We start from the raw sequence: 12,710 nt of genomic DNA, 5'->3' as shown, positions 1-12,710 counted from the left end.
TTTGCTTACACCACTCAGAAATGTATATATATTTATATGTATATAAGTGTGATATAATGGCAGCAGTGTGATATACTGGAAAGAGCAAGGCAAAATGATTTGAAAACTTCTTCCACCTTTAGGTCTCGTGATTTGCCACAAGATGCCAGTCTCAATTTTCTCATCTATGAAACAGATGAGAAAATAATGCTAGCCTTACAGAGTTGTGTTGACCACATTTCAAGTGTGGCATTTCCTATGAGCCCAGGAGACATGAAGCTCTGCAGGTGATCAGTCCCCACATTGTAGCACTTTGTATTCCCAAATAGAACTACAAAGTATGAGTTCAGAACACCTCTCCCTAAGCCTTTCCTCACATGTTTGATTTACTACTATTTTAATGTTCCACTTAAAACTTCAAACATCGTGCCTACGAAATGCTGATCCAAAATGGACAAAATCTGTAAAAAAAAAAAAAGACCAACATCTCAGGGTTGTTGGTACTAAATCACTGACTAATGTTTAGCTTGGGATATGCTGAAAACCTTCCATTTGTTAACCTTTTATCGACTATCTTGATATCATATGACTTGTTTTCTTCCTTCAGTATAACTGCACATCTCCTTTTCAGGATTTTTATAGTTTTGTATCACCCTGTTAGTCTTTTTGAGTCTAAATATTCACTAATATAATTAACAGTTCATTCAGAAAACACTTAAGGACCACCTATTGTATACTGGGCACTGTGCTAGCTTCTGAGGAGACCAAGAAAAAGAAGAACTTTAAAGGAGCTAGAAGTTTAAAGGTAAAGTTAACAGATAACTTCGATATAGTGTTGTTAGTATTTGAATACTAAGGTATGACCTCAGCTTCTAACTCTGCTGAGTTAGAAGCTCAGCAGAGGGGCTGGGGTGAAGAGGGATGGCTTCTTGGAGGTGACGCTCAGGCAGAATCATTAAGGTTCAGTAGGAACTAGTCAGATTCCAGGCACATTTGGAAAACTGCAAAAGCAAAAGGTGCCTGGGGGTACGGCAGTAGGATTGAGACTAGAGATCTGGGCTTAGCACATCTCTCCGAGGATAAGCTATTTAGTGATGGGTATAAAAATGCAATTATGATCATCTTTAGTGTATCCATTACCTTTCTGATAAAGATGACTTGGCCTCAAACCAATTTTAAAGAACACAATTTTTCAGGTTGTTATGGCCTTACAAATTATTTTAAGAATGAGCTTCCAAACACTTGTACATCCATAGGGAATATTATGACCTATAAGAATGTATTTTGCTAATGAAACATCATACCTACTTTCTCATATTAACCATAGAACCCAATAAAGCAAAGTCCAGGCATGCTCAATACCATGGGCATAGAACTATCAACCTGTGACTATCTTGGAGTGAATGGAAAGTGCAATGCTACTCTTCAATCACTTAGCAGTAAATGGTGAGAAAGTCAATTTTATCTCTGGCCTATTAGATGAGGGCATTAATACATTAGAATTGATTTTTAGGGAATGGAAAAGTAACTTAAAAAAATAAAGAAAAGAAGGAAGGAGTGCCCCACAGAGACTCCCAGATCCTCAGATATAGAAAGATAGAGGACTAACCCATTCACCTAGGCCCTTTTATCCTATAAATATCAATTCTTCCATTCAACCTTATTAAGTAGTACTTCCTTTGATAATATTTCCCAGGCCAATATCATAGTGTTTAGCAGTTGGGTCAAAAAAAAAAAAAGTATCAGCATAGAGAGCACACTAGTTCGAATGATAGTAGCTAGTTGCAAAGAGGGATAAAGTGTCACAACAGCTTTACACTGAAGTTTTCAAACAACATTTTTAAAAATGAAAGGGTAATCATAGCCACAGTAGTCAGATTCTTAGGAAAAACTTAAAAAATGAAGGAATGTGAATTAAGGGATGAGAGATAAATGTTTTTCCTGAAAGACGAACCAGAGTGATGTTTTATCTATTTATTAAAATAAAAATAATAACATATGTAACAAATCTGTACATGTACTCCCTAAACCTAAAAGTTGGAAAAAATTAAAATAATAATGAGCCTTGGTAAGCATATACATTAATTTAAAAAATAAGAATATGATTGAAATAGACATACTTTATCAAGGCACAATGTACAATACCACAAGAAAAACATAACATCTTTCAATTAAGTTTATCTTGGGAGAAGAAACAATGAACCTATCTTTGAAAGTAAATATTAGATTTATTTTTAAAATATTTTACCTGATTTAAATAATTTAGGCACTTTTCAAGACACCAAAGGCAACAAATGCAAGATTTCAGCACACATCGTGCACAAGCATTTTCCTGGATGGGGGAAAAATGGAAATAATAAAAAAACCAAAGAATCAAACTGTCACATAGAAGACTTCAAACGTTAGAAAAATAAATAAAAATTTAAAAATCACAATTTATGCTTCAAAGCCTCCATACTTGTCCACTTTCTCCTTAAAACATAATGACTGAATTATTTTTAATAAGTTCAATTAAATATTTATTTAGTCTCTACTGCATATACAGTGAAGTTTATAACACCTGCAAGGAACTTACAATCTAGTAGGAGAAAAAAAATACCAAACACAAAAAAGGTTAGAATCAGAATATAGTATAGATACTAAGTGTTATGAGAGTGGAGAACAAAGAGACAGCATTGTTTGGGAGATGGGAGGAATCAGGAAAGGTTTCTACAAAGGAGTAGAATTTGAGCTAAACTAGTTGAAGTGCATGTTATTCCCACAGTCAAGGAAGGGAAGAAGTTCTAAGGAGGAAGGTATGTGAGTCAACAGAGAGGAAGAGCAGCACAGGATACTTTTAGTTACTAGTGACTGGATGAATTTTGCCAGAGCATATGGAGTGCATGAGTGGGAGACAAGGGAGAAGGGCTGGATTTTGCCTTGTAAAGACTTTGAAGAAAACACAACTTTGTATTTAACATTATTGGGTGCTTTACTACATGCAGAACTGAGGTCTGGAATGTGCCCACAGAAAGTACAGAAATGCATTTTCCCCTTACCTTTCCTTTGAGCTGACTGTGAATATACATAAGGATCATTCGCGGAATTTTGACTAATGTGATAATGAAAGATCCTTTTGCCACCGTACCTAGGTGGTAACGAATAAGGCGATTTACTGATGCCAAAATAGGTGTAAATGGCAAATTCCTTTTATCCCTATTTAAAAAATGACCAAAAAGACAATTAAAACAAAGCCTAGATCAGGATGGAAACACAGGTATGGTTTAGAGTCCAACGCAGTGAAAAAAAAAATCAGCTCATCATTCTTATTTTAGCTTTATGACAAAATGGCCAAGTGATATATAACTATTACAAATGCTACAGACATGCTATATAAAATTAATGTCATTGCTCTATGGTAGTTTCATGGGGTTCTGATGCTCTAATACTTCAAGTTAAATAAAACTGTGCTCTGAAAGCTTTTATTAGTGAATACTTATGGGGTCATCAGAAAACAGAATTTAAAAAGATGTTAAATTTAGACTTGGCATCTAATTATAATAGAAAATTATGAGACCTAAAGCTTTCATATTTGGCTCTAAAGTTAGCAAAGGGAACTCACACTTGTTCCGGTCTAAACAAACTAAAAAGACTTGTTGTCCTTTGATGGACTTTTATATAAAGCAAAAGTACATATGGCACCACTATAAGATTTATTCTTCTGCTAAATACAATTTGTGACATCGCAATAAATTTTATGAGACAACTGCAGAAAAGTATAAAGAATAAAACAACAATCTCTCATTTGACCACCTCCCAGAATTATCAACTATATATAACACTCTGTCATATTCATTTCTAATTCTTTTGTTAAAGAAATGAAACTCCTGCCAGCCCCAGTCTGATTCCCTTCCCCTCCAGCCTGCGGACACCATCCCTTAGATGAACTCGAGTTTTCTAATAACAACATATTCTTACCTAGTAAAATAGTATGTTACCACAGCTCCTGCCACTGTCATCTGCTGACATGCTAGAATAAATTCACTGATCCAAATCAGGCCCACCACATGGTACCACCACATGTACTGCAGAGGCCCAGAAATTTTGAACTCCACAAAGCCTTGCTCATTCTGAACAGGACTGCCTAGGAAAATATCAAGGAAGGAAAGAAGAAGCACATAAAGTACAAATCCAGAAATACGGCAGTTAAGTAGAAGGCAATAGGTCCCTACCCCAAGCCACAAACCTTCTGATCTGTGTGGTATTTCATAAAGGGACAAAAATAACTATCACTTGAAAAGTTGTGAAATTAAGAATTGTACTATTATGCATTTTGATGTCCTCAAAGGCATCATATAAAGCTTTTAAAAGTTGTTATATTTAATAAAACTCTTCTTATATTATCAATTATTTAAGCATGAATTTTCAAACACTTCAGTTTTTTTCAAGGCCTATTATTTATCCAATCATTACAGATTTCTTAGCAAAGTACAGAAATTATTATTATATTCAGTTGCTAAGTGTGTGTGCTGAATGGACAGATAAGTTACATAGTTACATAAAAGTTTACTATCCTTATGATACTCTTTACAATTAGTTCCATTTAAGCTTAACCTTTGATACTCAGTACGGCTGTAAGAAAGTCTGAGTGTCTAACTATGAACTATATCATCAGTTGGAGCTCTAGCTAGGGTCAGATCATTTCGAAACCAGAAAATCCCAAGGAAGTAAGTAGATCCTTGGCTATACCTGGGATTTGAGGTAACTCCTGAGTGACATTGCATTCACTGGTTCATCTTAGAATGAATCTAAATGTCTGAGTCAGTATTGGAACTTACTTCAAATTCATGATCATTTCAAAATTAGAGTGCAATTTCAGGCCTTCCCTGATCTAGACTTACATTGCTAGGATGTTCTAAAAAATCATGAATATGGGCTGGGCACGCTGGCTCACGCCTGTAATCCCAGCACTTTGGGAGGCCGAGGTGGATGGATCACATGAGGCCAGGAGTTGGAGAGCAGCCTGGGCAACATGGAGAAACCCTGTCTCTACTAAAGATACAAAAATTAGCCAGGCATGGTGGTGCATACCTGTAGTGCCAGCTGCTCGGGAGGCTGAGGCAGGAGAATCGCTTAAACCTGGGAGGCTGAGGTTGCAGTGAGCTGAGATCACACCACTGCACTCCAGTTTGTGTGACAGAGAGACACTCTGTCTCAAAAAAAATAAAAGGCCAGGTGCGGTGGCTCACGCCTATAATCCCAACACTTTGGGAGGCCAAGGCAGGCGTCCTGACCTGATCATGAGGTCAGGAGTTCGAGACCAGCCTGGCCAATATGGTGAAACCCTGTCTCTACTAAAAATACAAAAATTAGCCAGGCATGGTGGCATGTGCCTGTAGTCCCAGCTACTCAGGAGGCTGAGGCAGAAGAATCACTTGAACCCGGGAGGCGGAGGTTGCAGTGAGCCAAGAGAGCACCACTTCACTCCAGCCTGGGTGACAGAGCAAGACTCTGTCTCAAAAAAAAAAGACGAATATGAAGTAGGTTGTTGAGGAGCCATAACCACTACAAGTTCTGATGGCTATTGGACCTTCATCAACAAATGTCTGAAGAATTACCTCTCTCTGATGTTCTAAAATACTGGAATGCAAATCACGTTTGTCACTAAGAGAAAGAAGCTTATCTTCTTACCGGTAGTGCCAAGAAAAAGAAGTGTCATGATCCAGTACACCCAAAACAAGACAAGAGCAAAGAAAGTCCAGAAGGGTTGGAAGACTAGCAGTGGCAAGTGAATGAAGACCTTGCCAGCTACGTGGAACAAGGCGATGGTAAGAGCAACACGTTTGCGCATAACCAACATTATCAGGAATAAGATCACCTGTATGGAGAGAATGGTTTCAGTTATTATTATAAGTAGTGAAAACAGAAACCGAAAATAGTAGAAATTTTTAACATAACCCTTCAGCCCCAAACCTGGAGGTAGCATTCTTTGAATTTCAATAATACTTTATCAGTAAGTATCTCTCTTGCAATATTTATTGTCAATTTTATATTATGGTTACCAAGTGACCTTTAAAGCAAAACATAAAAGGATTTCTCAACTTATTAATACATTCTAGAATTTTTTTCCTTTTCCCTTTGCCACTCATTATGAACCAAAACATACTGTCAGTCAGGATGAGACTCTTTATTTATTTAAACAGATACACCACAAAAACGAGGTTTTTATTTGTATCTTCCTTATTAGACCAACAGCTCCTTAAAAGTGGGATCTGTGTCAGATTCACCCTTTGCCTCCTCCCACCCCCACATCCCATCTTCAGCAGCTGGCACAGCAAATTGTACCTAAAATGAGATTTCATTCATATTTTGTTGTAATATCTGTATAACAATAACTAACAAATATCTTTTGGCACCAATGGTTTTATGATGGCTTTATTTTTTGTTTCTGATGCTCAATAAAAAGCTTGGGATTGCTCTTAGAAGTAGACTGATTTTTTTTCTTTTTTCAGAGAGAAGACGATGATGAACCAAAGGTATACATATAAATTATTTAACCACATGTTAATTGGTAATTTTATTGCTTAATACCTAAGCAGCAAATCTCACACACACACACACACACGCGCGCGCGCGCACACACACGCACACACAAACACACATATATATTTTGGAGACAAGGTCTCACTCAGTTGCCTAGGCTGTAATGCAGTGACACAATCATGGCTCAGGTGACCCTCCCACCTCTGCCTCCCGAGTAGCTGGGACCACAGGTGCACACCAGCATGCTCAGCTGATTTTAATTTTTTGTGAAGACAGGGTCTCACTATCTTGCCCAGGTTGGTCTAGAACTCGTGGGCTCAAGTGATCCTCCCACTTCAGTCTCCCAAAGTGCTTGCATTATAGGCATAAGCCACTGTACCTGACCACACCTATATTTTTGAAATAACGCCATAAAGTTAAATGAAAAGTTTGAAAGACAAATGGGAAGATAATTAGCAAACAAGTAAATGGAATGATATATTTTTTAACATACTTTTCTACAGTAAAGGGAACCATTTTTAAAAAGTAATTATCTTATGACAATAAGAAATATGTTCTTGTAAGCAAATGGTAATGTAAATATTCTAGGTGAAAATCCTCTCTCAAAAAGCAGACAGGGTAGAAAAAATGTTTCATCAAATAGCACTCATCCATGAGGGAAGCCTTCAAGAGACTTTTTAGTGTTTCATACACTATGGCACAGAGATATTATCTACTGGAGATCAGGGTTAGGAATGCAAAAGCTAGATTTGAGTTTCTGCTCCATTAATGATCTCCTGCAAACAAAAACACAAAACCGAAAGACACGCCAAAGCCTAAACTCACTGTGAACACTGTAGCTGAAATGGCATAAATGAGGAGGGCCCGAAGATTGTCTTCAGCTATCTGAAGCTGCTCAGGAGTAACAGTTTCTTTGGGAGACCTTCTTTGCTTTGCATACAGCCACCATAGTACACCTGTGCCTCCTGGAGACAAAAGACCCAACTGTTAATGCAATAATTAGGATAAGAAAATGTGTAACATAAATTCTCAATTTTCTTGACCCTTCCTACAGATCATCATGGGACTAATGCAGTGACAATCCATTTGGCTGGGAAGTACATAGCTATAACTTTTTGCCAGCATAAAGAAAGTGTCCATTGCTCTATTATCATCCTCCACATTAAGCATTTATAAATCCTTCAGTGTATCAAATAAGCTTCCTTCAAATGTATTTATTATTGACTATGAAGCTAAGAGCGAGCCAGTAGAAACATACACCCCTGACAGGAATTGACCACAAAGAAAGAGCCTCAGCATTTAAGCTGAGGAGGCTGGAGGAAGGAAATAAGCATCACAGAAAACATCAATGAAGCTTAAAGAGGGCAAGGATCTTCTCTGTTGTACTCATCACAGATACCTCTGTGACTTGCACTGACACAGTAATGCAGTTGATTAAGTATTTGTACAATGAATAAATGCAAATCAAAAGAACAGTTCCCACCAAAGGGAGGAACAAAGAGGAAATCTCTGATAGTGGTGGGTGCTAGGGATAAGCATTTTTAAATCTCCAACACCGGTTGAGAGATTCAAAGAACCAGACTGAAGAGGGAGACAAACCTACCTCCACATATGAGAGCTGACTTATATACCTACTTTCAACCCATTCAGCATTTTGAATGCTACAGCACCTATTGTTCTAGCTGGAGATAGAACAGTAAACAAAGCCAAGTTCTTACTCTTGCTGTTCATGGAACTTATATAATAATAGGGAAACAAAAAAATAAGAAAACAAGGAAAAATACAGTATATTAAGTCTAAAGAAAAAATGATCTCCTGGTAAGAAGGATATAGAGTGTCTGGGTAGGGAAAGCTTTGCAATTTTATATAAGATGGGTAAGCAAGGCCTCACTGGTATTAGTAAGATGATATCTGAGCAATGGAATCAAAGACAGAGAGCAATCTATGACACTATCTAAGGAAAGAGTGTCCCAGGCAAAGTTCAAAGAGACTGAGGTAGAACCATGCCTAGTATGAGAGAAAGAAGACCATTGTGGCTACTGCAATGAGCAATGCGGAAAGTGGTAGAGATGTGGGCAGAGAGGTAGCTGCGGACCAGACCACACTGTAAGGCCTTGTAGGTCACAGTGAAAAAATGGATGATTCAGAGTAGAGACATGTGTGTGTGTGGCTGATATGATAAATGTCTGGGATATAAAAAACTGAAGCAAAGTCGATGTACATCAACATCTGCACTCAAGAGTTAATGAGATCAAAGGCAAATTCCATTACCTATTTGTTGGCAAATACCAAGTACAAATTTTCCATCTGTTGAAGAGGAGGAAACAAATCAAAACTACCAGAAATTGGTGAAAAACATTTTAGAGCAAGGGAATGTTTCCATTTTGAAGTCTTGCAGGCACAAGAAAATTGTCTGGAAAAATGTTTAATATATTCAGAAAATGGAAGAAAATATGTTTCCTACATACAGAAATGAATTATAGGAGAAAAGCTGAAGTTAAAAAAATAGAATGAAATTGAAATAATGATGTCAAGGAGGAAGCTGTTCACAATAGCCATGGTAGACAGTATTTATTATTAAAATTTAAATTTGTATTAGGAACTGTGCTAAGTCCTTTATAGATGTGATCTAATTTAATCATTATAACACTATTCATATCTAGAGTTTTAAAGTTTTGTCTAATTCTGAATCTTAATTAAATTTGCCTATGATCTTTTGGGGGAATCTTTTTCAATTCTAAAATTTTTTATTTCTGTATTTGATTATTGTTTCTGTTCCATTGGTTTTTTTCTCCTAAGGTCATTGTTTATTCTTCTGCTGTCATCTTCTAACTTAACAGTTTACTTTTTTGGTAATTTTCCTTTACATTCAGGAAGACTTCTTCAAATTTATTTCCAAATAACTGATTTAGTTTTCCTTACTAGCAGTTCTGTACTACTTTATGGAAAAAGGACCAGTAGTTCCTACTAAAACTAGTCCAGGAAAACGTAAATGTAAATATAATTATAAAAGTTTTTAAGGCAAAGATAAACAAGAGTTTTAAAAAGATACAGCAGGTGAAAGCAATATTTTAACTTTAATTATAACCCGAGTACAAAAGCTCAGACTATTTAACAAGGGCGAAAAGTGGGAGGGAGCAGAAGAGAGTAGGGGATGAAAGGAAGGAAAGTTTATGTTAAATTTAAGGGAGGCAGGGAAGAACTCAACATATATCATCTTATTTCTGACTTTAATAATCACAGTAGTCTAAAGAATATTTTCTGAAAACAACTGTGGAAGTGAAAATGTAACGTATACCATCAAAACAAGGGTGAAGATAACCAAAGAAAACATAGTTCGTGTAGCAAAGAGAGAAAACAAGAAAGAATGAATTTCAAGAAAGACAGAACAGATGAGAACAGTAAGACCAAACATACCAGTGAAGATGATAAATGTAATGAGAACAAATTCCATTACTAAAAGGTTTCATATTCAGCTGGTAAAATTTAACTGCATATGTTTATATACATATGCATAGAAAAAAGGTCTCAACTTCAAATGCCAACAGTGATGAAATGAGGGGAGGGGCAAATATAATTATAAGAAATTTTAAGGCAAAAATTAACAGTCTTCCTTGAGGATATAGCTTGTGAAAATATAATTTATTTTCTTCTTTATATTTCTATTTTCTACCAAAGTAGTTAAGAGGCTGAGGTAGAAAACAAAGAAATAAATAGCTTACCAAGTGAACCGAGTATGACCAGAATCGTTAAGATCCACACAAGTACTCTTGATATATACCTGATTATCACCATCAAAATCATGGATAGAACTGCAGGGAAGATAGAGAACATATAGAATATTATTTGAAAATGCAGGTAAATACAAATAAAAACGCTTTAAATGGTTGCTTTTTTCCCCAGGGAAATAATCTGTTGCTATTGACCACAATTTAGATAAGGAAGGAAACTAGCTGCTGTTGTATTTGACTCTGCTACCTGTACCACTTAAATAGCATCACTCGAAACCAAAGTCACCTAACTGTGGGTTTATAAACTACAGAAAAAAATACATGCAAATGCACATGGTGACTCAAAAACAGCACAAGACTGTTGTGGATTCACCACGGGGAAGACATCAGACATGCAAACATACATGCCAGCACACAAAGTGTAGAGAATGACATGTCATGTTGGTGACAAGAAAAATTACTACACATAGACAGAGATCAGTTAAATTAGGAGCTACGCTTTATTGAGTAATCTATGTATTTCAGGAGCAACTAACTTCTCTGACAGTCAGTCAAGAAGCTAAATGGCATCTTATCCTTTTCTGGCTGTTTCTCCTCTAGAACTCCAAAGGATGGTCCGACTCTGTGGAATAACATCCTGAAGCCTACTATGGCCGAATTTCCTCTGTCTAATTTCTCAACTGAGGTCAGGGGTCCCAGGTGAGGAGACCTTCCTCAAAAAGGAGCAAAGCTGTTTGAGTTATACAGCCAGTTCTTCTACCTGCCCCAAGCTAAATCCGATGTGCTATAATCCTGAGTAAAAATCTTAAAGAAGAAAGGAAAGATTTAACCCTTGCATGGGAAATACGTTTCTGAAATAATAATTTATAAATTTCTTAATTATCTAAAGGCCCATTCCACAAACAAATGAACAAAGATTTTTTAAGATTATATTACACTCTTAAGCCTCAAAAGAGAATCATTCTAATAAAAAATAGAATTCTGATGGCTTAGCATTATTGGCACTATTTTTTAATTGGATCTTTAGTTTTTGGTTAAAGTTTTAACTATTTCAAAAACCAAATAATTTTGATATAAAGCTAGACTAACAGTTAAGTTTCTTTGGGCCACTTGCAAAGCCAAATAAATGGTTGGGATTTGTGTCTAGGTAACATTATTAAGGTACTCACTTTTGCAATAAATGTACAGGAACCAAAAACAGATGGGAGCCTTTCAAATATCACAGAAATAGATTTTCATATGGACAGCATTATTTCAATTGAGTCAAGTACTACCTAAGCAAAAAGAAAATACTCTCTAATGACAGGAAAGACGGAAATACAGCTTGTATCTTCTCAATGGCTATAATTGTTAACAGGCATAAATACTAAGTTTACTTATATAATGAAATAGCTGTTGGTTCCTACCATAGTTTACTTCTCCCAACTAAGAAGGCCTATACATTCTGATAAGGTACATATAGTTCTAGAATAATATAGGGAGTTTTAATCTTGAAAATAACATTTTTGTTTGATTTATTATCTATTTATTGACTAGAAAACTCAGTGGCTAATAGGTGGAGATTTCCTAATTTTTCCAGCAATACACTGATACTATGCACTGTAGCAATGAAAAAAAAATTACATACTTCAAAAGTAATCTATCAGAAATCTGTGTTCTTAAATGGGAATATATAAGAGAATATGTCGCCTCCTGTATAAGTAAATACACCTTTTAGGAATCATAACTAAAAACAGAGGGTTGTTGATTCATTAAAAGAAGCCTCTTGCTCTCATATTAAAGTAGCTATAGACTTAGTAAACAACGTTTGGGAAAACACTAGTTTTCTCCAATGAAAGAAAAAAAGAAGGGAATGAGTTTCAGATATATATACATACTTATATGTACATATTCTTAACTATATATAATCTGAAACAATGATTTTGGCTATGGGAAGTTAAACATTTTACAAGTATCCCCAGTTGTATTCATATTTTGGCTAAAAGACAAAACAGTCTTCTTCTGCAATACTATGCAATAGCTAATAATGAGAAAAACAATTACCTAGTGATAACAAGCAAAGTCCCAATATAATTTCTTTGCTGGTCATTACTCCACTAATCAGCCTGTGTAAGACACTATTGTCACTGACAAAGGTGATCAGGGCCTCTGCAAACTTGGCATAGCAGGAAATGTTCACAGGAGCACAGCGATGGAAGAATGGAATAGGTGCACTGGTGACACAAGAAAAAAAAATCAGAAAAAAAATTACTCCTACTTAATATAAATGCCACATCAAACACACAAATGAAAGGTGAATATGGCTGCAATACACTCCACCCTCCACACATCATTATGGGAGCTAAGAGCTGTGTGCTTAATGCTATGAGGATGACTGTCATGGGTAGTGATGCAAATCTTACCACAAGCCTTATCAAAGAGGGTGGAGTGCATGTTCCAACAGAAGACATTACCCGCCCCTTCTGAAAAGAAACGCAC

The 12,710-nt window shown here is 36.2% G+C and overlaps 1 protein-coding gene across 8 annotated transcripts in view; it reads right to left on the bottom strand.

Annotated features, from left to right (window-relative positions):
* SLC44A1 (solute carrier family 44 member 1) overlaps positions 1 to 12,710 on the bottom strand; it is a 193,854-nt gene that overhangs the window by 69,848 nt on the left and 111,296 nt on the right. For all 8 annotated transcript variants that reach the window (NM_001330731.2, NM_080546.5, NM_001286730.2 and 5 more), the window contains 7 exons: positions 12,276 to 12,445; positions 10,224 to 10,313; positions 7,327 to 7,466; positions 5,650 to 5,836; positions 3,937 to 4,102; positions 3,018 to 3,174; positions 2,228 to 2,311 (listed from right to left, as the gene is read on the bottom strand). In NM_001330731.2, the coding sequence (NP_001317660.1) occupies positions 2,228 to 2,311; positions 3,018 to 3,174; positions 3,937 to 4,102; positions 5,650 to 5,836; positions 7,327 to 7,466; positions 10,224 to 10,313; positions 12,276 to 12,445 (994 nt within the window). The remainder of the gene's footprint in view (positions 1 to 2,227; positions 2,312 to 3,017; positions 3,175 to 3,936; positions 4,103 to 5,649; positions 5,837 to 7,326; positions 7,467 to 10,223; positions 10,314 to 12,275; positions 12,446 to 12,710) is intronic.

The sequence above is a fragment of the Homo sapiens genome, chromosome 9 (assembly GCF_000001405.40).
Source record: "Homo sapiens chromosome 9, GRCh38.p14 Primary Assembly".
NCBI lineage: Eukaryota > Metazoa > Chordata > Mammalia > Primates > Hominidae > Homo > Homo sapiens.
This window is presented reverse-complemented; position numbering and strand designations above follow the sequence as displayed.